We start from the raw sequence: 26,783 nt of genomic DNA, 5'->3' as shown, positions 1-26,783 counted from the left end.
TGCTACCCAAGTGCTGGGTGACATGCCAAAGGCTCTACATGCATGTCTGTTAATACCCTCAACGACCCTCCTGGGGTTGATATTATTATTAACCCCATTTTACAGGGTGGTGAATTGAGGTTTGGAAAGGCAAAGTGATTTACAGAGGTCAACCACATAGTGAGCTGAGGCAGGGCAGACAAGCACCAAAACTGGGGCTTGGCCTGGCCTGGGAGGGTTCTTGGCTTTGCCCAGGAAGAATTGGTGAGCCAATGGTGTTAGACAGCAACTTTTCTTTTTCCTTTTTTTTTTTTTTTTTTTTTTGCGACGGAGTCTCACTCTGTCTCTCAGGCTGGAGTGCAGTGGCGCGATCCCAGTTCACTGCAACCTCCACCTCCCAGGTTCAAGAGATTCTCCTGCCTCAGTCTCCTGAGTAGCTGGGATTACAGGCACCTGCCACCACGCCCGGCTAATTTTTGTATTTTTAATAGAGACAGGGTTTCATCATGTTGGCCAGGCTGGTCTCGAGAGCTCTTGACCTCAGATGATCCACCCGCCTCAGCCTCCCCAAGTGCTGGGATTACAGACGTGAGCCACCGTGCCTGGCCGACAGCAACTTTTCTTGAAGTGGCAGTGTACAGCAGCAGCAGAGGTACAGCTCCTTGCAGAGCAGGGCTACCCCATAGGCAGGGCACCCAGAGTAGCAGCTCAGAGGCAATCCTGCAGTCATATTTATACCCACTTTTAATTACATGCAAGTCAAGGGGAAGATTATGCAGAAATTTCTAGAAAAGGGGTGGTAACTTCCAGGTCATCAGGTGGTTGCCATGGAAAGGGAACATAACATTTGTATGTTGCCATGGCAACGATAAACTGACATGGCACTGGTGGACATGTCTTATGGAGAGGGTCTGTCACCTCTTCCCTGTTTCAGCTAGTCTTCAGTGTGGTCCAGAGTCTGAGCCCCACCTCCAGAGTCAAGTCCCGCCTCCTACCTCAACACTAGCAGACTTTTTTTTTTTTTTCCCTTGCTTTTTGAGACCGAGTCTCACTCTGTCACCAGGCTGGAGTGCCATGGCGTGATCTCGGCTCACTGCAACCTCCACCTCCCAGGTTCAAGTGATGCTCCTGCCTCAGCTTCCCCAGTAGCTGAGACTACAGGCACACACCACCATGCCCATCTAATTTTTATATTTTTAGTAGAGAGGGGGTTTCACCATGTTGGCCAGGATGGTCTCGATCTCTTGACCTCGTGATCCGCCCGCCTCGGCCTCCCAAAGTGCTGGGATTACAGACGTGAGCCACCGCACCTGGCTAACACTAGCAGACCTTGTAACTCCAGGGTAGCACAGGTCCCACCCAGCTTACAGCAGGTGTTCTGGCAAGTTTTGGGGGCAGAACATCCTTGTCCTTGAGGCATGGTCTGGTGCTGGAGGCAGGCATGGCCACAGATGGTGACCACAGCAGTGTGAGGCTCAGAGGCATAACTGAAACCCACAAGAAGAAGAGCTTTCAGTAGACAGAATAATGCTTCCCAAAAATGTCCAGGTCCTAATCCCGAAAACCTGCAGATATATTGCCTTACATAGCAAAAGGGACTTTGCAGATGTGATTAAGTTAAGGCTCTTGAGACAGGAAGATTATCCTGGATTCTCTGAGCCCAATGTCATCACAAGGGTCCTTATAAGAGAAAGGCAGGAAAGTCAGAGTCAAAGAGAGAGAACGTGAGGACAGAAACAGAGTGATGTGGGGCCGAAACCCAAGGAATGAAGCAGCCTCTAGAAAACAGAAAAGGCAAGGAAATGGATTCTCCCCAAGAGCCTCAGAAGGGACACACTCTTGCTGACCATCAGAACTGTGAAGTAAGAAATTTGCTTAAATCACTGAATTGTGAGAATCTGTTACAGCACAATAGGAAACGCATACAGAGCTTAACTTGCCTGGGGAGAGAAGGGGAGGGCTTCCTGAAAGAGGCAGCATTGAGCTGAATGGCTGCCTGAAAAACCCCAAAGCCCACATCTCTATGAAGTTCTTTGTCTCGGTCGCCCCCCAGGCGACCAGACACCTTAATTCCCCCATTCCCAATTGTTAAGCATTTCACAGCATCAAATCCTGGGAGGTAGGTCCTGGTACTGTACTTCCCATGTATTTACTAAAATTTAAATATCAGCTCATTTAAAATGTCATTAAGGCCAGGTACAGTGGCTCACATCTGTAATCCCAACACCTTGGGAGCCGAGGTGGGTGGATCACCTGAGGTCAGGAGTTCGAGACCAGCCTGGCCAACATGGTGAAACCCCGTCTCTACTAAAAATACAAAAAACTAGCCAGGCATGGTGGCGGGCGCATGTAGTCCCAGCTACTCGGGAGGCTGAGGCAGGAGAATCTCTTGAACCTAGGAGATGGAGGTTGCAATGAGCCAAGATCACGCCATTGCACTCCAGCCTGGGCAACAGAGTGAGACTGCATCTCAAAAAGGAAAAATAAATAAATAAATAAAATTGGCTATTCAATGCTCTAGCTGCACAGGTGTCATTTCAAGCACTCCACAGGCACACGATGCTAGGTATGCTGTTGGAGAGCATGCAAAGTTCTCCTGGACAGCACTGTAGAATCCCATTATACAGATGTGAAACTGAGGCTCAGAGAGAGGAAGTCACCTGGGTAGGAAAAGGCAGAGCTAGCACACAAAACTTAGATCTTCTAGCTTCATTCTCTGCCTTCTCAACAGAGAAGACACAGGGCTGATGGTCTGACCCCAGGCCCAACCTTATTTAATTTAACCACAAATTACTCCCCCACGGGAAGGAACTATGTATGACCTTTGGCATCACTGACAAGAGTTTATTTTGGCGTCTTTGTCCCTCTGCCTTAAATGCAGGGGACACTACCACGAGGCAGGTAAAGTAGAGGTCTTGGGTTAATGAAGGGTTCTGCTTAGCGGAGGATCCAACGAATGAAGTGAGTTATTATTACAGGCACAGAGCACTTGTGGTTTAGACTGCCGAGTGCAACAAGTTTGCATGATCCACCACTGCCCCTCAACCCCCAAATCCATCATCCGTATTAACTAGCATACAAGCACTAGGAAAATCTCTATCTCCAGGGCGGAATGATACCAAAACACCTTGGAGTAACCTTTCAATTTCTTTTTTTCTTTTTTTTTTTTTTTTTTAGATGGAGTCTCGCTCTGTCACCCAGGCTGGAGTGCAGTGGCACCATCTTGGCTCACTGCAACCTCCGCCTCCCGGGTTCAAGCGATTCTGCTGCCTCAGCCTCCTGAGTAGCTGGGACTACACGTGCGCGCCACCACGCCCAGCTAATTTTTGTAGTTTTAGTAGAGACAGGGTTTCACCATGTTGGCCAGGATGGTCTCGATCGCTTGACTTTGTAACCCGCTCACGTCAGCCTCCCAAAGTGCTGGGATTACAGGCGTGAGCCACTGCACCCAGCCAACCTTTCCATTTCTAATATAACCTTTGCCACCTACAAGGAATTCATTCAGGATTCACTGATTGACAGTTAGTGAGTTTTAATGAGTACAATCAAATCTTCTACACTTTTTTTTTTCTTTTTGAGACAGAATCTCACTCTGTTGCCCAGGCTGGAGTGCAGAGGTGCCATCTCAGCTCACTGCAAGCTCCGCCTCCTGGGTTTACGCCATTCTCCTGCCTCAGCCTCCCGAGTAGCTGGGACTACAGGTGCCCGCCACCACGCCCGGCTAATTTTTTGTATTTTTAGTAGAGATGGGATTTCACCATGTTAGCCAGGATGGTCTCGAACTCCTGACCTCATGATCTGCCCGCCTCGGCCTCCCAAAGTGCTGGGATTACAGGCGTGAGTCACCGCGCCCAGCCTCTTCTACACTTTTAGCTAAAAGCAGTTACAAAGAGTTTCAGGGGAAAAATAAAATACAATTAAAAGTGAGTTTTAAATTTGTTTCCTGGAGGGCAGGGAAATGGGCAGATGGAGGGACAAGGATGGGAGAGAGACTTTTCACTGTCTATACTTTGGTAACTTTTCACTTTGAATCTTGTCAATGTATTAGCCAAATCAATAAAAGTTAAATTTTAAAACATTTAGGTACAATATGGACATGAAGATCCCATTTCAGTTGGGTATGGTGGCTCACTCCTGTAATCCCAGCGCTTCAGGAGGCCAAGGCCTCACTTGAGGCCAGGAGTTCAGGATCAGCTTGGGCAACATAATGAGATCCCATCTCTACAAAAAATACAAAAATTAGCCAGGCGTGGTGGTGTGTACCTGTAGACCCAGCTACTCAGGAGGCTCAGGTCGGAGGCTCACTGGAGCCCAGGAGTTCAAGGCTGCAGTGAGCTACGATAAAACCACTGCACAACACCTTGAACAACAGAGTAAAACCCTGTCTCAAAAAAAAAAAAAAAATGGCCGGGCACAGTGGCTCACGCCTGTATTCCCAGCACTTTGGGAGGCTGAGGCAGGCGGATCACAAGGTCAGAAGTCCGAGACCAGCCTGGCCAACATGGTGAAACCCCATCTCTACTAAAGATACAAAAAATTAGCTGCGTGTGGTGGCGCGCGCCTGTAATCCCAGCTACTCAGGAGGCTGAGGCAGGAAAACTGCTTGAACCCAGGAGGCAGAGGCTGCAGTGAGCCAAGATCTCACCACTATACTCCAGCCCAGGTGACAGGGCTCAAAAAAAAAAAAAAATCCTATTTTCTATTTGATATAGATGCACATGGATGGGTATATAAATTTGAATGTATGGATACTGAGAGAAAGTATTAGAGAAACACATGTGAAAATGTTTACAAAAATTATCTCCAAGTGGGCCGGGCGCAGTGGTTCACGCCTGTAATCCCAGCACTTTGGGAGGCCGAGGTGGGTGGATCATGAGGTTAGGAGATCAAGACCATCCTGGCTAACACAGTGAAACCCCGTCTCTACTAAAAATACAAAAAAATTAGCCAGGCGTAGTGGCAGGTGCCTGTAGTCCCAGCTGCTCAGGAGGCCAAGGCAGGAGAATGGCGTGAACCCCGGAGGTGGAGCTTGCAGTGAACTGAGATTGTTCCACTGCACTCCAGCCTGGGCGACAGAGCAAGACTCCGTCTCAAAAAAAAAAAAAAAAAAAAAAAAAAAAATCTCTCCAAGTGAAAGGAGATAAGGCTATGGCTAATTTTAATCTTTTTTGTGTAGTTGTAAGTTTTATGTAATAATAACAAGATAAGTATTTGTGTTTGGATGTATAGCCAGTTTCTATATGAAATGCTTCACAAACAAAAAATGGTTTTTCCCAGCAACCTCGGAGGCAGGTAGTATTTTACTCCCATTTTACAGATGAGGAAATTGAGGCTCAGAGACACTAAGACCATGAAGCCCACTCTCTTGATTCCTTTACTGTGTTGCCTTCTGATAAATGAATGTGTTTGTAATAAGAGGGAAAAAAAAGTTTAAAACAAATGCCAAAGAGGCCAGGGGCATTGGCTCATGCCTGTAATCCCAGCACTTTGGGAGGCCGAGGCGGATGGATCACTTTGAGCTCAGGAGTTCGAGACCAGCCTGGGCAACATGGCAAAATCCCATCTCTACAAAAATTAGCTGGGCACTGGGGGCTTGTGCCTGTAGTCCCAACTACTTGGGAGGCTGAGGCTGGAGAATTGTTTGATCCCAGGAAGAGGCAGTTGCACCTAGCTGAGATTGCATCACTGCACTCCAGCCTGGGTAACAGAGTGAGATCCTGTCTTTAAAAAAAAAAAAGCCACGAAGTTAAAACACAAAGTTCAATGGACTGAATTTCCAAATATACAAATGTCACAGCATCCAAGTGTTTCTCAGGGAGGGTTCAGCAGCCACCACTGGTGCCCAGCCCTGTGCCCTCAGCATTCACCTCTAGATGCAGAAAGTGGTCTAAGAACATCTGCAGTTTTCACCTCTAGATGCAGAAGGTGGCCTGAGGACATCTGCAGTTTTTCTGGCTAAAGGCTTGGTTTTTGGCTGTGGGAGCAACTCAGGTCAGAAATGCAGCCCATTAATGCCCCAGAGCAGCCCTCCACCAAAGACTAAAGGAAGTTGATGTATCAACACCCCAGCTCCCTCCTTCCTCTGGGGAGGAAGCCTGAGGTGTGTGGTTTTGTTAACATTGTATATAGCTTCCTGCCTTCCCTGTCTCACTTTCCACTCTGATCAAACAGTGCTGCCAGAGTCAGCTCCCCAAAAAGCCATTCATGTTCCCATCCTTGTCTCTGGGCCTGCTTCTGGGGGAGCCTAACCTGAAACAGCTGAACATGCTCAGCTTCCCCTACCCACTGGTTACCAATGGTTACCAGGAGCAAAAACTCCAAAGTGGTTTTTTTCCTGGATCATTAAACCACAGCACCTCCATGACAAATGCTAAGTCCAAAAATAAGGCAAGCCTGCTCGTTTTTTAGGGCAGGACAATGGGAAAGGGTTTCGAGAAGTGTTTTTCCTAACCAGAGGTGGGACACTTGCCAGTCAGAATTACCACTAGAACTTGGAGTTCCTGATTCCTGATGCAATATGTGTATGTATATATATGTATGTCTGTATATGTATATAAATGTGTGGACTCATACATGATTATATATTTTATATCATATATTTATATAACATAAAAATATATACTTATTTACATAATGTAGAAATTGCTTTAGCCCAAGGATGCTATAAATGCAGGTTCTCCCAGCTACAGGAATCCTGTGTTATGGGCCAACAGGACCACACAGCAGGTATCATCTGAAAACCAACAGGCACTCAGGCCTGCCCAGTGTGGGAGAAAGGCTGGACAAGCCTGGCAAGATGGTCTGGTCCAGGGACTCGTGAGTTAGCATTTTTTAAAATAGAAAGTGCCCTAAAGGATTCTGAGAGATCATGTCCCACTCTAATCCTATTCAATCTGCCTCTGAATCTATCTCCACATCCCCCACTTCCCTGCATCTACCCCTGGGGCCAATCTCCCCCACCCCAGTCCAGACCACCACCTTCTCCTGCCTGGAGGACTCTATCAGCCTCCCCCTTGGCCTGGTCCACATTGGGGCAGGCATCAACTTTCCAAAATGCCACTGTAAACATTTCATCCCCTACATAAAAAGCTTTCAGTGAAAATTTTTCACAAAGTTTCTAGAGGAAAACATGGAATAGATTGATCTTAAAGAAAATTTCTGTTCATTAGAAGACACCATTAAGAATGATATAAGCAAATCATAGACTGGAATTAAAAATATGTATATACACATGCACACACATACACATGCATATATATACACACACATACACACACACACACATATACACACACATACATATATACACATACATACACATACACACATATATACACACGTATATATACACATACATACACATACACACATTTTACAAAGCACTCTATTCAGAATATATAAAGAACTATAAATCAATAAGAAAAAAGACAACTCAGTTTTGTATTTCTTTTTTTTTTAAGCACAAAAGACTCGAATGGTTACTTTACACACATACACAGAAAAAAATCTCCACGTGACCAATAAGCACATGAAAAAAAAGTTCAACTTCACTGGTCATCGGGAAAACACAAAAATACAATGAGGGTCTGGCTCATGCCTATAATCCCAGCACTTTGGTATGCCGAGGCAGGAGAATTGCTTGAGGCCAGTTCATGACCAGCCTGGAAAACATGGCAAGAACCTGTCTCTGTTCAAAAAAAAAAAAGCCAGGTGCAGTGGCTCATTCCTGTAATCCTTGCACTTCCGGAGGCCGAGGCAGGCGGATTCACTTGAGGCCAGGAGTTCAAGACCAGCCCGGCCAACATGATGAAACCCCAACTCTACTAAATATACAAAAATTATCCAGGCATGGTGGCATGCACCTGTAATCTCAGCTACTTGGGAGGCTGAGGCATGAGAATAGTTTGAACCCAGGAGGCAGAGGTTGCAGTGAGCCAAGACTGCGCCACTGAACTCCAGCCTGGGCCAGACGTGTCTCAAAACAACAACAACAACATCGAAAGCTACATTTAAAAAAAAAAAAAAAAAAGGCCGGGCGCGGTGGCTCACGCCTGTAATCCCAGCACTTTGGGAGGCCGAGGCGGGCGGATCACGAGGTCAGGAGATCGAGACCATCCCGGCTAAAACGGTGAAACCCCGTCTCTACTAAAAATACAAAAAATTAGCCGGGCGTAGTGGCGCGCGCCTGTAGTCCCAGCTACTTGGGAGGCTGAGGCAGGAGAATGGCGTGAACCCGGGAGGCGGAGCTTGCAGTGAGCCGAGATCCCGCCACTGCACTCCAGCCTGGGCGACAGAGCGAGACTCCGTCTCAAAAAAAAAAAAAAAAAAAAAAAAAAACAGGCGAGGAGCAGTGGCTCACACCTGTAATCCCAGCATTTTGGGAGGCCGAGGCAGGTGGATCACGAGGTCAGGAGATCGACATCATCCTGGCTAACACGGTGAAACCCCATCTCTACTAAAATACAAAAAATTAGCTGGGCGTGGTGGCAGGCACCTATAGACCCAGCTACTTGGGAGGCTAAGGCAGGAGAATAGCTTGAACCTGGGAGGCAGAGGTTACACTGAACTGAGATCACACCACTGCACTCCAGCCTAGGCAACAGAGAATCCGTCTCAAAAAACAAACAAACAAAGCACATAAATGAAATACCATACTACTCAAGGCCAGGCTTAATGGCTCACGCCTATAATCCCAGCACTTTGGGAGGCTGAGAGAGGATCGCTTGAGCCCAGAAGTTTGAGACCAGTCTGAACAATATGATGAGACCCTGTCTTTGCAAAAAACTGAACAGTTAGCCAGGCATAGTGGTGCATGCCTGTAGTCCCAGCTACTTGGGAGGCTGAAGCCGGAGAATAGCTTGAACCTGGGAAGTGGAGGTTACGGTGAACTGAGATCGCACCACTGCACTCCAGCCTAGGCAACAGAGTGAGACTCCGTCTCAGAAAACAAACAAACAAAACCAAAGCACATAAATGAGATACCATACTACTCCAGGCCAGGCATAATGGCTCACGCCTATAATCCCAGCACTTTAGGAGGCTGAGAGAGGATCACTTGAGCCGAGAAGTTTGAGACCAGTCTGAACCATATGATGAGACCCTGTCTTTGCAAAAAATTGAAAAGTTAGCCAGGCATAGTGGTGCATACCTGTAGTCCCAGCTACCCAGGAGGCTGAGGTGGGTGAATTGAGCCCAGGAGGTTGAGGCTGCAGTGAACCATGATTGCGCCAGTGCACTCCAGCCTAGGTGACAGAGCAAGACCCTATTGTGCTCTCTCTCTCTCTCTGTATACTATACACTATATTGATTATAAAATACTGTACTACTACGCATCTACCACAATGGCTAAAATTACAGAGACTGGCATTACCAAGTGGTGATAAGGATGTGGAACTAAAGCTGCTTTTAAATTGGCACGAACATTTTGGAAGACTGGCAGGACCTATAAAAGCTGAATCTCGACACCTAACCTGTGAGCCGGCAATTCCACTCCTAGGTATCTACTCAGTGGAAATGAATGCTTGGGTCCATGAAAAATTTATATATGAATGCTCATAACAGTTTCCTCCATAATAGTCAAAACCTGGAAACCACTCAAATGTCCATCAGCACTACATTTGATACATAAATTGTGGCATATTCACATAATGGCATATAATACAACAATAAAAAAAAAAAACCTGCAGATAGTCCCCAACATAGGATGGTTTCATTTGTGATGGTTCCACTTACAGTTTTTAAACTTTACAATAGGTGATCATTTATGAGAGTATTAAATGCAATTTCTTTTTTTTTTTTTTTTTTGAGACAGAGTCTCGCTCTGTCGCCCAGGCTGGAGTCCAGTGGCGCGATCTTGGCTCACTGCAAGCTCCGCCTCCTGGGTTCATGCCATTCTCCTGCCTCAGCCTCCCTAGTAGCTGGGACTACAGGCCCCGCCACTACGCCCAGCTAATTTTTTTGTATTTTTAGTAGAGACGGGTTTCACTGTGCTAGCCAGGATGGTCTCGATCTCCTGACCTCGTGATCCGCCCGCCTCAGCCTCCCGAAGTGCTGGGATTACAGGTGTGAGCCACCGTGCCCGGCCCAAATGCAATTTCTTTTATTTTTTTGAGACAGGGTCTTAATTTGTCACCCAGGCTGGAGTGCAGTGGTGCTGTCATGGCTCACTGTACCCCTGTTCTCCTGGCTCAAGTGATCCTCCCACCTCAGCCTCCCAAGTAGCCGGATCTACAGGCCTCCGCTGCCATGCCCGTCTAATTTTTTGTTGTTGTGTTTTATTTTTTTGTAGAGATGGGGTTTCACCATGTTGCTCAGGCTAGTCTCAAACTCCTGGGCTCAAGCGATCCTTCAGCCTCAGCCCCACAAAGCGCTGAGATTACAAGTGTATATTGCCACACCTGGCCTAAATGCAACTTTGACAATACTTTTGACTTATGATGGGTTTATCAGGACGTATCCCCATTATAAGTCAAGAATATTTGTACTGCAACAAGAAGAAAACATGGATAAATACGACAGGCATTAAGGTTTGCAAAACAAGCAGCATTCTAAACTGTTCTGTAAAACGGCATGTGTATGAAATTCAGGCAAAATTTATATGAAGTGAGCTCTAGGGTAACGGAAGGTAGAACAGCAATTACTTTTGGGGACTGTGACTAGGAAGGGGTATAAAGATGCTCTCTGGGACCTGAGAATGTTCTATATCTTGATATGCGTGATTACATCTTGTATACATACGTAAACGTGTGTCTAGTTGACACCTAAGATGTGTGTACTTTCCTGTATGTATGTTATGCTTAAGGAGGCAAACCCCAAACTTCGAGTGGCCTCCAGGTGCTCACAAAATGAAGTCCACACCCCTCACCACCACAGCCTTGCATTATTTGTTCTTGTCTACCACTAAGACCTCATCTCCTGCCCCTCACCCAGGGCACCAGCCCCACCAGCCTCCCACAAGCCATGCGTTCTCAACACCAACAACCCCTATACCAGCACCCTTTCCCTCCCAGCTCCTAACTCACTTATCCCGGACATCGACATGTCAGCTTTGTCATGATTGTTTTTCATACCGGCAATTTCCCCTCTCAAGCAAGACATGGGAGAAGTCAAAATCTGGAAGAATTCCATCCTGGGATGGGAAAGAGACCCGCAGAAAGCTGCCAGTCGCCTTCTCTTTTTCCTGAGTGACATCAGTACTCGTGAGAGCTAATGCGCATGGGTCCCTAATTAGATACCACTTCTTCCAGGAAGCCTTCCAGACCCCTGCAGCCAGCCCAGGTAGGCTTTGGTTCCCAGAACTCTCTGTTTCTTTGTGACACCAACCCCACTGTTTTATGCCTGGTTACTCGTCTGCCTTGCTTCCTGAAGGCAGAGATCCTTTTTGTCGTAGAGATCCTTGCCTGGCATGTGATGGGTACACAATAAACATTTGCTGAAGCAAATCAATGTTTACATGAGAAAATAAGTCACTGCATGGAGGGTAAGAATGGGATGGAGCCCACAGTGACTCTATGCAGGCCCCTGGCATACAGAAGGTAAAATTCGGCCCCGAGAGGCTTGCCTAAGGTCACACAGCCAATTAAGGATGAATCTAGCACTGCAACCTATGGGAGATGCTGTTGGATCTGCCCCTCCCCCAAATCCCCTTTCCTGCTGCGGCACCCATCCCCCAGCTGCTATGACAGTTGTCTGCTCAGTTTACAGTTACACCCTTTTCCAGGAGGGCTGTCCTCCAACATGCTGCCCTACAGTCTCCACCCCTCCTGGTAAATCCCTCACTCCCACAGCCAATGACTGGCTTCCAAGGGACACGAGGGGCTACTTACCCTTGCCCCAAGGCAGGACTTACTCTGTGGCTTCAGAGTGCCCCAGGGGATCAGACTGAGGCCAAATGTCCCCTCCCCTGCCCTATTATCCTGTCTCCCTCTCTCGGGGATGCATGAGTCACAACTCAAATCAATCACTTTCACAGAATTCCTATCTCAAGCTCTCCTTCTAGGGAACCCAACATAAGACAGAACTTAAGGCTTTCAAGTACTCGCCCGCACTCCAGGCTGACACACTGCCTCCCAAAGCTAAGTCTGAAAAGGAATGGCAATTCCAGTGGCCAACCCAGGGGCCATGCTGTAAGGAAACGTGTAATCCATAAGGCTCGTGTGAGTGCACATGTGGGGAGGGTCTCCTCGCTGGTTCCCGATGCCCTTTACTTTCATCTCTATAAGATACACAGAAGGACCTAAGCTGTGCTTTTCAGCCACCAGCAATGAAGCTCTAAAATGTGCCTCTGAGTCCGAGAGGGAGCCCTCCACCGAGACACCCTGCTCTATCACCAGCTCTTAGCATAGCCACCTGCATACACAGGGGTCGCTTCCCCAATGAGTCCTTGTAAGCCCCTCCCCTGAAGATGACTTACCTAGCCTTGTTAGAGAAAACACTCTACACTCTCCTGCATTCAGATGAACACCACCTGCCCTCACTTCTCCCAGATGCCAATTTTATCCAGCATAATCACCAGTTAGTTCAGAGGACACTGTGGTCAGGGGATGACATGCAGGAGTAGCAGCTGGGTGCCCCCAGTCTCCTCCCCTTGTCTGTATCCCTCTGTACAACTGTTCAGAACAGGGACTTCCAGAGCCAGTCATCTCCATCTGTACTAGCTGTGTGACCTTGGGCAACTCACTCTACCTCTCTGAGCCTCATCTTCCTCATCTATAAAATGGAAGCAAGGGTAGGTACTTCACATGCTTTTGTGAGGATTAAATGAGATCACATACATGAAGTGCTTAGCATAATGCCAATGGTCAACACCTACATCAGTAATTGTCCTCATAACCGTATTATTATTAATCATTGAAAGAGACTGGGGGTGGGCATGGTGGCTCATGCCTATAATCCCAGCACTTTGGGAGGCCAAGGCAGTGGACTGCTTGAGCTCAGGAGTTGGAGACCATCCTGGGCAACGTGGCGAAACCCAGTCTCTACAGAGAATACAAAAACGATTAGCCAGACATGGTAGCTCCTGCCTGTAGTCCCAACTACTAGGGAGGCTGAGGTAGGAGGATCGCTTGAGCCAGGGAGGTTGAGGCTGCAGTGAGTCATGACTGCACCACTGCACTCCAGCCTGGGCGAGAGTGAGACCCTGCCCCTGCCAAGAAAAAAAAAAAAAACCTTGGCCGGGCGCAGTGGCTCACGCCTATAATCCCAGCACTTTGGGAGGCCAAGGTGGGCAGATCACGAGGTCAGGAGATCGAGACCATCCTGGCTAACATGGCGAAACCCTGTCTCTACTAAAAAAATACAAAAAATTAGCCAGGCATGGTGGCGGGCACTTGTAGTCCCAGCTACTCAGGAGGCTGAGGCAGGAGAATGGCGTGAACCCGGGAGGCGGAGCTTGCAGTGAGCTGAGATCGCGCCACTGCACTCCAGCCTGGGTGAGAGAGCGAGATTCTGTCTCAAATTAAAAAAAAAAAAAAAAACCTAACATACAAACAGAGACGGGATGAGGCAGGAGCCTGGAGTTAGGCTGCACAGCTTCTGCACAAATGCAGGAACGTGGCTGGAAAGCAGGAGGAGGAACAGGCCTTGTCTCCCATCCCAAGGGGATAGAGTGGACCCCTCGCCCCAACTCCATCCCAAAAGATGCAAGGAAGCAAAGAGGCCTGGAAAGTGTATACAGCAGGTGCTCAGGATACAACAGCTCTGACGATGATACAGTTCATTCTTAAAAGGGGACCCCAAGAAAATGACCTCTCTGGGCTCAGAGATCCTTACATGCCTAAAGAGTCGCCTTTCTGCAAACAGCCCTGGATCTCAGGCAGAAGCAGGAACAGGGAAGCCACTCCTTTGTCAGAGCCTCTGACCTCATGCGCTGGTTCACCTGAGCCACGGTCGCCCTCTGCCTGCTGGAGCCAGCCAGGTCCTCACAAGAGGTGTGCCACCCCAGGCACCACAGGGTGCCTGGGAAGAGCCTACTCTGTCATACCAAACACTGTTGGACTCCACCCAAATCCTCTCAGCACTAGTGGATAACTTTCTGTTGCTGGGGGATAAATACCCCAGCTACCTAGCACTCAAGTCGGATAATTTAATGGCATGTTCTATAGGCTCCCAGAGGTCCCCAGCACAGCTGAGCCCCAGCTGTTCCCCAAGGTAACCTGCTCCTTATCTCACCCTAATGGTACACTGCCACCCAAATAAACTGCTTGCCTTTGCACCCTTGACTTAGGCTCTGCTTCTGGGGGAACCCAACCTATGACACCACTCTTTCCTAGAATCACTGACTCACAATAGAAGGACTGGCTTGGAAAACAAGTTCCCTCCTAAGGTGTCGTGACACAGTGGGGAGACACACCCCATTTTGAAATGTGTCAGCAAACCACTGACTACCAAGATGATGAGGTTGTAACACTTGCACTTGCTGAATTTTTTTTTTTCTCTTCTGAGACGGGAGTTTTGTTCTTGTTGCCTAGGTTGGAGTGCAATGGCGTGATCTTGGCTCACTGCAACCTCCACCTGCTGGGTTCAAGCGATTCTCCTGCCTCAGTCTCCTGAGTAGCTGGGATTACAGGCGCCCTCTACCATGCCCGGCTAATTTTTTTGTATTTGTAGCAGAGACAGGGTTTCACCATGTTGGCCAGGCTGGTCTCGAACTCCTGACCTCAAGTGATCCAACTGCCTTGGCTCCCAAAGTGCTGGGATTACAAGCGAGAGCCACCATACCCGGCTGCACTTGCTGAATTTTTAAAAGTTGCTCTTTTTCCAATTTTTCCAAAAGATGATATTGACCTATTATGTGCCATACTCCATGTTTGGTGATAGAGCAATGTGGATAAACTCACAATTTCCTGTTTACGTGGAGTTTAGAGCAGGTGGAAGGTGGAAAAGACAGGCAATGGATAAGCCATGCACCAAGACAAAGACAGTAGCATGTGACAAGGGAGGTGATGGGAACAGGGTTTGTGATGTGAATAGCAGCTGGGCTGCACAAATTGGGTGATCAGGAAGGATTCCTGGAGGAGGTGACCTATCAGCTGAATGACCTACAGTCAGAGGGAGCCGGCCAAGGGAAAGCCATGAGGTCTAGAGTCAGAAAAGAGCTTGGGGCATGGAAGGAACAGAAATTTCTGCTTGCACAGCTGGAGTAGAGTGAAGGGAAGTATCATGGGCTGACTTTGGAGAGAAGACAACGGACAGGGTCTTGCAGGACTCTGAGGCCATCTATGAGAGTGTGTCTGGGGCTCTCCCAGAATCACCTTCCTCACCCTGCCTCCCTAGCACTCCAACCTGCTTTCCTGAGTGGGAGAGGGTGGAGTTACCGCCTGCCTGCCAGGAGCCTCACTGAGTCTCCCACTCCCGGTGGGGGGACAGCATCTCACATGTCAGCATCCTCCGTCTGGTGCATCCAGGTGATAACTGCTGGCTTCAAGGCAGATTAGAGGGAAAGGCAGAGAGGGCGGCTTCGAGATCAGCACCTGGCAACTGGGAGTCTGAGTCAGGAGACAGCTTTGGTTGGTAGTCCACAGTGCGCAGACTCAAATTCAAATCCTACCTCTATGAGCATGGGTAAGTTTCTTAACTTCCCAAACCTCAGTTTCCCCACCTCTCAGATGGGTTAAACCTATCTGCTTTGAATAGTAGCTGAGAGATTTGCTAAGAATATACATCAAAAAGCACTTGGCATTGTCTTTTTTTTTTTTTTTTTTTTTTTTGAGACGGAGTCTCGCTCTGTCACCTAGGCTGGAGTGCAATGGCGTGATCTTGGCTCACTGCAACCTCCGCCTCCCGGGTTCAAGCAATTCTCCTGCCTCAGTCTCCTGAGTAGCTGGGACTATAGGCATGCACCACCACACCCGCCTAATTTTTGTATTTTTAGTAGAGAGGGGGTTTCACCATGTTGGCCAAGCTGGTCTCGAACTCCTGACCTCAAGTGATCCGCCCACCTCAGCCTCCCAAAGTGCTGGGATTACAGGAGTGAGCCACCACGCCTGGCCATTGTTCATTTATTGATCAAACTTTTACCAGTCTCCTACTATGTGCCAGGCACTGTACTAGGAGCCAGAGATACAGGTGTGAACAAGACAGGGCCAGTGTTCAGTCAGGCAGGGGAAGAAATCCAATGTTTACAGAAGTCAGGAATGGCAAAGAGAGACAAAATTTTACAGGCACACGGTAAGTACATTCCCTCCATCTGAGACCCTGTCCCCCAGTAAAAGCCCGGAGCCTACCAGTCACCATGTGAACCCTGAAAGTTAAGACTCCTGTCTCCTGCCAGAGCCCTAGGCATGGACATCCTAAAGGAATCCAGCTCTTTAGGGTAACTCTGCTCCTACAGGGTCCAAACTCCATCCTCCGTCCCAATTACCCGAAGGAAAATCCCTAAGCCCCAGAGACAATCTCTTAGGACATTAGCTTCAGGCGCAGCCAGTTATGCCAAGGGCGGTGTCTGCCAGTGTAGGCATGAGTCATGTCCTGCCCGCTCTGTAAATGGGAGGAGGGGTGTCCCAGGCCCAAAATGCTGATGTGGCTGTGCCAAGGAGGGGATGGGAAGAGACCGGAGGGGACAGAGCAAAGCCCAGTCCCCAACCTCCCCACACCAGAGGAAATAACAACTCAAACAAGAAAACAAGCACACACGCCACGCTTATTTACACTCATCCCCGGCTCTAAAATAAACTCTGAATGGAGATTATGGCCATGATCCCTCGCAATTACTCAGTGACTATGGGGATTATTATTCTCCCCACGTCAGAAAGGAGGAAACTGGGCCAGGCACAGTGGCTCACACCTGCAATCCCAGCACTTTGGGAGGCTGAGGCAGGCGGATCACGAGGTCAGGAGATCGTGACCATCCTGGCTAACACGGTAAAACCCTGTCTCTACTAAAAAAAAAAAAAAAAAAATTAGCCGGGCGTGGTGGCACGTGCCTGTAGTCCCAGCTACTCGGGAGGCTGAGGCAGGAGAATCGCTTGAACCCCAGAGGTACAGCTTGCAGTGAGCCGAGATCCTGCCACTCCAGCCTGGGGACAAAGCAAGACTCTGTCTCAAAAAAACAAACAAACAAGAAAGGAGGAAACTGAGGCTTAAAGAGATGAACTGTCTGTCCAAGGTGACTCATCTTGTCAATTCCAGAGCCACAAAGCTGATCTGCCCTGCTGGACTGGGAGAAAAAGAGGGGACATTCCTAAAAATAAGGAAGAAAGGGGCTGGGCATGGTGGCTCATGCCTGTAATCCCAGCACTTTGGGAGGCCGAAGTGGGTGGATCACTTGAAGTCAGGAGTTCGTGACCAGCCTGACCAGCATGGTGAAACCCCGTCTCTACTAAAAATACAAAAAAAATTAGCTGGGCATGGTGGTGTGTGCCTGTAGTCCCAGCTACTCAGGAGGCTGAGGCAGGATAATCGCTTGAACCCGGAAGGCGGAGGTTGCAGTGACTTGAGATCAAGCTACTGCACTCCAGCCTGGACAACGGAGTGAGACTCCTCAAAAAAATAAAAATAAAATTAAAGAAGAAAGGGTCCCTTCCTCAGAGAAGGCCTGGGTGACTGGAGCTGCTTGGCCAGCCCTGGGCCAGGGGTGGGACAGTGTGGTCAAGCAGAAGCCTTTGGTCCTGGCTTGTGACCTCCGCTGTGGCACCCGAGCCTCGGTTTCCCCAGCTGGGCAAGAAGGACCTAGCTCAGTGTCTGGCTTACCCACCGAGCCCTGAGCCCTTCCTACAAATGAGGAGGGAAGACCAGGCCTCCAGCCTCTGGCAGGAATCCAAGACCAGCATGAAGCTGCCCACCCGCAAGGTAGGGTCACCAGAGGACCATGGTTGCTCCACCCTTCAAGGAAGGGCAAGGCCAGGACGTGAGCAGGTGCCTGCTGTGTCCCACATGGTGACGCTCCAGAGGTGGCCTGTCCATGTCAGCGCTGGGTTGGAGGTGGTGGTTCTGCAGCCCAAACCTCATACCACCACCCAGGGCTGCTGCTGGCGTGGGCGCACATTGGGCAGGCACATGTGTGTGAGCATGGTGTGTGCATGGTGTGTGTGGGGCCAGGGAACATGTTTCCAGGAGGTAGGGTGGGTGTGAGATATATGTGTATGTTTGGAGGTACTGAGTCATGTAGGGAGGAACACACATGACAGTAAACAGGCCAGGCAAGGTGGCTCACACCTTTAATCCTACCACTTCTGGAGGCCGAGGCAGGCGGATTACCTGAGGTCATGAGTTCGAGACCAGCATGGCCAACAGAGTGAAACCCTGTCTCTACTAAAAATAAAAAAATTAGCCAGGGATGATGGCGGGTGCCTGTAATCCCAGCTACTTGGGAGGCTGAGGCAGGAGAATCACTTGAACTCGGGAGGCAGAGGTTGCAGCGAGCTGAGATCACACCAACTCACTCCAGCCTGGGTGACAAGAGCAAGACTCTGTCTAAAAAAATAAAAAAATAAAAAATAAATCACCTTGCCAAAATTTCATTGTGCTTCCCCAATGATGATGGGCTTCTGAATATTCCTTTTCCTGCCGTCTGGTGCTCATAATGTTCTATCAAAAGAATATGTTTTTAATGTTTAACAAAGAGCTAGAAAAAGCTCTCTACCATCTTCTGCCTTGATCCCAAAACCCAACAAGGTTTCTGGGGCTGTGGTTTTAAGAGGACAGCCTTTTTTTGTTCAAATCTCAAATAAACAAGAGTCCCTTTGGCAGAAGTCCCTTTGCCGGGCGGACATTCACCCCGCACACCCTCCCGGCACCAAAATTGCAGCTAAGACAATAGTGCGTGTTTTCTTGGGGAGTGGTGGGGAAAGGGGCTCTTGAGCTCTTGCTAAGCTTTGGGAACTCATCCCAAATAGTTTCTTCCCCACCCAGGGACTCTCCCTTTCCTGTGGCTCAGGGTCAGCCCTCCTCCCACACTCTTGCCTTGGGCCAGTGCATCCCCCCTGAGCCCTGACCAGCCCTAAATTCCCAGGGCTTAGGAGTTCAGAATTTTCATCTTAGAGACCATGCAGCCCTAGCTCCCTTGTTACAGCAGTGAAGAGACTGAGCTCAGAGTTGACCAGGGCTATGAAGGCGATAGAGCAAGGGTTATAAGAAGTCAGGGTGGAGGGGCAGCAACTCTAGATGAGGGGATGGGGAGGGCTCTCTGAGGAGGTGCCATGTGAGCTGAGACCTCAATGAAGAGGAGGCTGTCAGCAGGGCTGTGACCCCCCTGCAAGCACACCAGGCACCCAGTGGGGAATAAACTAAATGGCAAAGGTGGAAGCCTGGAGCTGGGGCAGGATACTCCTGCCATCCTCCAGGTGGGAGACGGGGTGGCCAAGATGAATTCAGTGACAGTGGGGACCAAGAGAAGGGACAATGTGGCTTTGAACACAAGGGTGAGAGGAAGACAATGAACACCCCTTCCTACTCACCCTCGACATGAAACCAGGGGAAACCAGAACCAAAGGGACCTTGAAAAAAGATTGATTCAAAACTCCCTCCACGAAGAAGTGGTGAGTGTACTGGGCCTGGGAGTTCAACACCAGCACAAAGTACAGGGAGTCAGAGACCTGGATTCCAATCCCAGCTCCATAATCACTAGTTGCATGACCTTGGACAAGTCAGTGCTCCTCTTTGAGCCTCAGTTTTTCCAACTGTGAGATGGGGAAGATACCAAACCCAGATGGACACTGAAAACTCCAGCACAGTACCTGGTGTTCAGTAGCTCCCTGCCCCATTCCCTCCCCATCTTTGGGTCTGACACCGGACCACAATTCTCAGATGAGATAAACCACCCAAACCCATTTTTTTTTTTTTTTTTTTTGAGATGGAGTCTCGCTCTTTCACCCAGGCTGGAGTGCAGTGGTGTCATCTTGTCTCATAGCAATCTTCACTTCCCAGGTTCAAGAGATTCTCTTGCCTCAGCCTCCCAAGTAGCTGGGATTACAGGCACTAGCCACCATGCCTGGCTAATTTTTGTATTTTTTAGTAGAGATGGGGTTTCACCATGTGGCTGGTCTTGAACTCCTGACCTCAAGTGATCCATCCACCTCAGTCTCCCAAAGTGTTAGGATTACAGGCATGACCACCACACCCAGCCCCAAACCCATTTTTGAAGAACTAACATAAATAGTGATTTTCTACCCAAAGGATCATATGAAGCAAAAATGGGAATCCTTCCCACTGAGCGGGGGTCAGAATAGAGATACCCTAAAAATAACAAGTGCTCCCAGTTTGGGGGGCTGAGATCCAGGCAGGAGTCTTTTTTTTTTTTTTTTTGAGATGGAGTTTCACTCTTGTTGCCCAAGCTGGAGTGCAATGGCGCGATCTCGGCTCACTGCAACCTCCAACTCCCAGATTCAAGTGATTCTCCTGCCTCAGCCTCCCAAGTAGCTGGGATTACAGATGCACGCCATAACACACAGCTATTTTTAAAATATATTTTTAGTAGAAACGGGGTTTCACCATGTTAGCCAAGCTGGTCTCGAACTCTTGACCTCAGGTGATCCACCCGCCTCGGCCTCCCAAAGTGCTGGGATTACAGGCGTGAACCACCGTGCCCCGCCCAGGCAGGAGTCTTGACAGTCCTGTGATGCTGCAGATGGACCCCCTGCAGGGCAGAGAGCTCTGGAGATGTGTGGAGAGAAGGCAGACATGACAGGGGTCAGAGACTACAAGGCTGGGCTCAAATCCAGGTTCTACTTCAGAAAGTCATTCTCCTTCCCCATGTCTCAGTATCCTCAATTGCAAAGCAGACATAATATGCCCAATCTAGCAGGAGTCTATCAGACTAGCTGTCATTTAGCCAGGATTGGTGGTGCACACCTGTAATCCCTGCTACTCTGGAGGTTGAGGTGGGAGCATTGCTTAGGGCCAGGCTGGGCAATACAGCAAGACCCCACCTCTACAAAAAATAAAATAATTAGCCAGGTGTGGTGGCATGTGCCTGTAGTCTCAGTTACTCAGGAGGCTGAGGCAGGAAAGAAGGTCACTTGAGCCCAGGAGTTTGAGGCTGCAGTGAGCTATGATCACACCATGGCACTCCAGACTGGGCAACAGAGTGAGACTCCATCTCAAAAAATAATAATAGGCCAGGCGCAGTGGCTCACACCTGTAATCCCAGCACTTTGAGAGGCCGAGGCGGGTGGATCACGAGGTCAGGAGATCGAGAACATCCTGGCTAACACGGTGAAACCCCGTCTCTACTGAAAAATACAAAAAATTAGCCGGGCATGGTGGCAGGCGCCTGTAGTCCCAGCTACTCCAGAGGCTGAGACAGGAGAATGACGTGAACCTGGGAGGCAGAGCTTGCAGTGAGCCGAGTTTGCACCACTACACTCTAGCCTGGGCAACAGGGCGAGACTCTGTCTCAGAAAAAAAAAAAAAAATAATAATAATAATAAATAAATCATTGGAAAAAAATCAAAAGAACAGTATTTCATGACACATGAAAAATCATATAAAAATCAAATGTGTGTGTCTATACATAAGTTGTGATTGCAGTCAAACCACAGCCACACCCACTTGTTTACATCCTGTCTGGGCTGCTTGTGCAGTAAACGGCGGAGGTCAGCAGGTGTGACAGAGGTCTTATGGCCTGCAAAGCTGAAAATATTTACTATCTGGTCCTCTACAGGAGAAGCTGGCCGACCCCTGCTTTAGGCTGTGACCTCCAGAGGGCAAGGGGCTTTGTCCTTCATTTCTATGGATGCTCCCTAGTGCCTGAAAGGGGTCAGGGCCTTGACAGATGATCAGATAACAAATGGTGGATAATTACCATGAGGCCCTGCCCCCAGCATAGAGCTGTGCATCAAGCTTGTGATGGATGGATGGATGGATGGGTGGGTGGGTGGATGGATGGATGGATGGGTGGGTGGATGGGTGGATGGGTGGGTGGATGGGTGGGTGGGTGGATGGGTGGGTGGGTGGTTGGGTGGGTGAATGAAATGAATAGGCAGTTCTCTGTATCCATGGGTTCTACATCTATGGATTCAATTAATCACTGATTGAAAATATTCAGGAAAAAAATAAGGATGGTTGCATCAGTATTGAACAGGTACAGAGTTTTTTTTTCTTGTCATATTCCATAAACAATGTAGATAGTAACTACTTACATGGTATCTACATTGTATTAACTATCATAATTAATCTTGAGCTGATTTAAAGCATCTGGGAGGATATGTATAGGTTACATGCAAATACTACACCATTTTATATCAGGGATTTGAGCTTCTGGGGATTTTGGTATCCCGTAACCCAGTCTCCCACAGATACCGAGGGAAGACTGACTACATAGGGAAGATGCTCTGGTTGAAGCCACAAGCGTCATCCCTTAGGGTGGCCAAACGCCCCTCCAGAGTCACAAACCAGAATCTGACATCCCTTGGGCAGGCACCTCTCCAAGAGCGCCAGACTGGCCTTGACATTCCATGAGCCCAGAACTCTAAAGAGAGGACGTGATTCATCTGAGATAAGTCCTTTCACTAGGAGAGGAAGGAAACCCATGTTCAGATCCGGGACCAAATTTAACTCCTGTCTTTCACACGTCCCCATCCCCCATAACACACACACGCACACAAGTCCCAACCCAGCAGTCAGGAGACAGCATCGGCACTTACTGACTCAGCTTCCTCCCGAAGGGTTACCCCACAACCCTCGCAAAACACAGTTGGAGAAAAATCCTCAATGGGAAGGGGCTATTCCAGAGGGAGAGGTTTCTCCTGGTGTTGGAGAACAGAGTAGTTCCTCCCTCTCATTCTGTTTCTCTCTCTCTCTCTCTCCCCTCACCATACACACACACACACACACACATACACACACACACTCACACACTCTCTCTCTCTCTCCCCCTCTCCCTCCCTCTCTTCCTCCCTCAAAAGGCGCTGAGACAAAGAGGGAACTAAAGAAACAAGAGACAGAAAGGCTAGGCGCGCTGGCTCACGCCTGTAATCCCAGCACTTTGGGAGGCCGAGGTGGGCGGATAATGAGCTCAGGAGATCGAGACCATCCTGGCTAACCCGGTGAAACCCCATCTTTACTAAAAATACAAAAAATTAGCCGGGCGCGGTGGCGGGCGCCTGTAGTCCCAGCTACTCGGGAGGCTGAGGCAGGAGAATGGCGTGAACCCGGGAGGCGGAGCTTGCAGTGAGCCGAGATCGCACCACTGCACTCCAGCCTGGGTGACAGAGCGAGACTCTGTCTCGAAAAAAAAAAAAGAAAGAAACAAAACACAGCAGGAAATAACGGCCTTTCACTCCACAGGGAATTTCAGATCCAGCCAACAAGCCCATCTCTTAGGAGGATATTAGCATCCTCAATACCTCGGAGACAGCACCTAATTTACGTTTTAAATCCCAGTGTGGGAAAATTGATATGTTCCCAGTTTGGAATGTGAATAGAGATGTTTTATCTGAATAGAGATATATTTTTACTTCCCAATAAGAAGAAAGCTCTTTTCCACATGAATATATATCCAAAAAATCAGAGAGACAGCAGCTCCGTGCTTCTGGAACAGTTGGAATTATCCTGCCATTTCATCTGGGCCCGGGGCCTAGGATACTATAACAACCCTCCAACATGCTCCTTGGTGGACACAGGTCAGCGTTTATTGCTGTTTGCCTGCTTTTTTTTTTTTTTTTTTTTTTTTTGAGACGTAGTCTAGCTCTGTCGCCAGGCTGGAGTGCAATGACACGATCTCGGCTCACCGCAACCTCCGCCTCCAGGGTTCACGCAATTCTCCTGCCTCAGCTTCCCGAGTAGCTGGGGTTGCAGGCACATGCCGCCAAGCCCATCTAATTTTTTTGCATTTTTAGTAGAGATGGGGTTTCACCATGTTGACCAGGATGGTCTCAATCTCCCGACCTCATGATCCGCCCACCTCGGCCTCCCAAAGTTTTACCTGCTTTTTCTCCTCTGCTCCTGAGCTTTGTCCTGAATGGGAAGACTCACAGCAGCTCACACATATAAGGGAATTAATTCCACGCTTATTAAGTTGCTGAAGCTGCCTCATCCCTTGCCCAGTAGCTAAACCGTCTCTTGACTGGGCAGATGATGCATTACCTTCACCAACAGGTGTAAAATCAGTGCTCCCTGTCCTGGGCTATTTCCCGTGCCCTGGACACCCAGCTATATTTGAGGATGGTCCTTTGCCTCCAGGTGTGTTGAGAACTTACAAGACTGAAGATGTTAGCTGAGGCCTTGAGCTTTCTTTCCCCTAGCTGTGTGACCCTAAGAAAACTGCTTAACCTCTCTGGGCCTGCATTTCCTCAAGAGATAAAAGTACTGCCCTACCTATCTGCAAAGGATTTGAGGCTTAGAACACTGGAGGGATGTCAGTGTGCTTGGGGGTAACCCTTAAGGCATGTACCCTCAGTCACTGTCATGCCCCTTCCTAATTAAGTGACTTTCTTCCAAAAGGGAATGCAACCACATAATGTCCCTGCTTAAGCCCCTGAGAGGCATTTAGAGTTAAATCCAAACACCGGCCAGGCGCGGTTGCTCACACCTGTAATCCTAGCACTTTGGGAGGCCGAGGCGGGCAGATCACCTGAGGTCGGGAGTTCGAGACCAGCCTGACCAACATGGAGACACCCCATCTCTACTAAAAACACAAAGTTAGCTGGGCGTGGTGGTGCATGCCTGTAATCCCAGCTACTTGGGAGGCTGAGGCAGGAGAATTGCTTGAATCCAGGAGGCGGAGGTTGTGGTGAGCCGAGATCGCACCATTGCACTCCAGCCTGGGCAACAAGAGTGAAACTCTGTCTCAAAAAAAAAAAAAAAAAAAAATTCCAAACACCTTTCCATGGCCCCATACCCCAGGCCCCCAGACCCCCAGCTTCAGCCCCCACCGCACAGTCACACAGGCCTCTGTGCCGCACTCCTGCCAGAAAGCCCTAGCGCAAGCTGTTCCCTCTGCTTCAAACAACCGCACCTTGAACCACCCCCGCCCCCCCACCATACACACATCCTTTAAGTCTGAGCTTTAATGGCCCTTCTTCAGTGTAATGGGAGAAAAACTGTCTCCCCAAAATTCAGGTCCACCTGTAATCTCAGAATGCGACCTTCTTTGGAAATAGGGTCCTTGTAGATGTAATTAGTTAGGTCTGAATGAGGTCACTCTGCATTAGGGTGGACCCTAATCCAATGACTAGTGTCCTTATAAAAAAAGAACACACAGACATACAGCTAGAAGCCAAAAAACGCCAACAATTGCCGGAAGCCACTGGAAGCTGAAGAAGAAAGGAGGGATTCTCTTTTACAGCCTTTGAAGCAGTGTGGCTCTGAGGACACTATTAGCCTCAAGAAAGTCGGAAAACACAGTGCTGTTGTTTTGAAACCACCCAGATTGTGATAATTTGTTAAGGTGCACTCAGAAAAGCACAAGCCGAAGCTCAGCTAAAGTTCATCCCCCATTTTCTTCAAAGCATCCTGGTCTTCTTTCTCCCTCCTGCCAGGTCTGCCTCTCCCTCCAGCCCACAGACCCCAAGAGAGAAGGGATCTCAGCTGCAGGGTTCCCTGTAGCCCCCAGCACAGAGCCTGGCCCACAGCAGGTGTCAGAGGAGTACTTTCCAAATGAATTCAACAGATGCCTGGAAGGAAGCTCAGAAAGGCCAAGGGACTCATCCAAGGTCACACAGCAGGTTGAAGCAGGCCAGGGAAACCAGCACCCAGGCCACTGGCCTCCCTATGAGTGATTCAAGGAGCCAAGACGCTGGCACTCATCCTGCAAGGACTTGGGTCCGGCAGGAGAAGCTCCCTCTCCCTCCCAATTCCCAACTTCCAGGCCTGTGCCCTCTGGGATCTGTGCCCAGCCAACACCACGACCTTGGCAGGGACCATCCCAGCTCAGTGACCCTGGAGATAAAAGCCTCTTGGGTCCTCCTGAGGTTCTGGGGCTGCTGTGGGGCAAGGGATGCCCTAGACTCAAGTTACCCCAGCACCCACAGGGCAAATGCCAGTGACCAGCAAAGGCCGCTCAAGAAACAGGCCCTCACCCATGCAGACCCACAACCCTGCACCCACCTGGCTCCTGCCTCACACACCCTCATTCCCTAGCTCTGCATTGATGAGTGTGGGAGGCACACAGTCCAGAGAATGGACATTAAATAGCACTGACTCACGGAAGAAAAGTGATTCCAGCCAGGAGAAGGTCTCCATGAGGTGCCAGCCTGTCTTTAACACTTCCGCGACACTTGCTAATCACGCTTTTTAGCAAAGAGAGAGTAAGGCCACTTCTAGCCCAAAAACCTGCAGTGAAAGCGGCATTTATTTAGTGGGAACTTGATGACACTGTTTGATTTCCTTTGCCTGTATTTCTTAAGTAATCTACTTATAACCAGCATCGCTGGTGTTATCAATTGACAGTAATAATACATAGAATTATTTGAGTACAATGAGGTGGGGGTGGTTTTAGATAATTAGAGGAATAATAACATAAGAAGTAAAAAGATGTGGAAACATCACTCAAGTGGTGCGTGGATGACAGAGCTTGGGGGACTCTACACTCATTTGTTCATTCATTCACTTACTTTATCCATGATGTACACATATACACATGTCTCTCCTCAGGTAATTCAGGCAGCATCCAGTAATATATGGTTATGCCTCCCAGGCCAGGTGCCATAAGAATCACCTGGGGAGTTTTCCTTTTATGTTAGACAGAGTTTTGCTGTGTCACCCACGCTGGAGTGCAGTGGTGCAATCACAGCTCGCTGCAGCTTCAACCTCCCAGGCTCAAGCAGTCCTCCACCTTGGTCTCCCAAGTAGCTGGAACTAGAGGAGCATGCCATCACACCCAGCTAATTTTTCTATTTTTTGTAGAGATGGGGTCTCGTCACGTTGCC

General features: G+C 48.9%; 1 protein-coding gene across 5 annotated transcripts in view, besides 2 other annotated features; it reads right to left on the bottom strand.

Moving 5' to 3' along the window:
* Positions 1-26,783, bottom strand: part of KIAA1671 — a 244,733-nt gene that overhangs the window by 188,948 nt on the left and 29,002 nt on the right. The window lies entirely within an intron of this gene.
* Positions 5,558-6,057: an enhancer, noted in NCBI's record as "H3K27ac hESC enhancer chr22:25398411-25398910 (GRCh37/hg19 assembly coordinates)". NCBI's record gives its function as "activates a minimal SCP1, AML or CMV promoter by ChIP-STARR-seq in naive H9 embryonic stem cells {active_cell/tissue: H9 hESC(naive)}" and the evidence as "EXISTENCE:reporter gene assay evidence [ECO:0000049][PMID:30033119]".
* Positions 13,120-13,717: an enhancer, noted in NCBI's record as "H3K27ac-H3K4me1 hESC enhancer chr22:25390751-25391348 (GRCh37/hg19 assembly coordinates)". NCBI's record gives its function as "activates a minimal SCP1, AML or CMV promoter by ChIP-STARR-seq in naive H9 embryonic stem cells {active_cell/tissue: H9 hESC(naive)}" and the evidence as "EXISTENCE:reporter gene assay evidence [ECO:0000049][PMID:30033119]".

This window comes from Homo sapiens, chromosome 22 (assembly GCF_000001405.40).
Source record: "Homo sapiens chromosome 22, GRCh38.p14 Primary Assembly".
NCBI classification, from domain to species: Eukaryota; Metazoa; Chordata; class Mammalia; order Primates; family Hominidae; genus Homo; species Homo sapiens.
The sequence above is the reverse complement of the archived record's forward strand: the minus strand, read 5'-3'. Positions and strand labels throughout refer to the sequence as shown.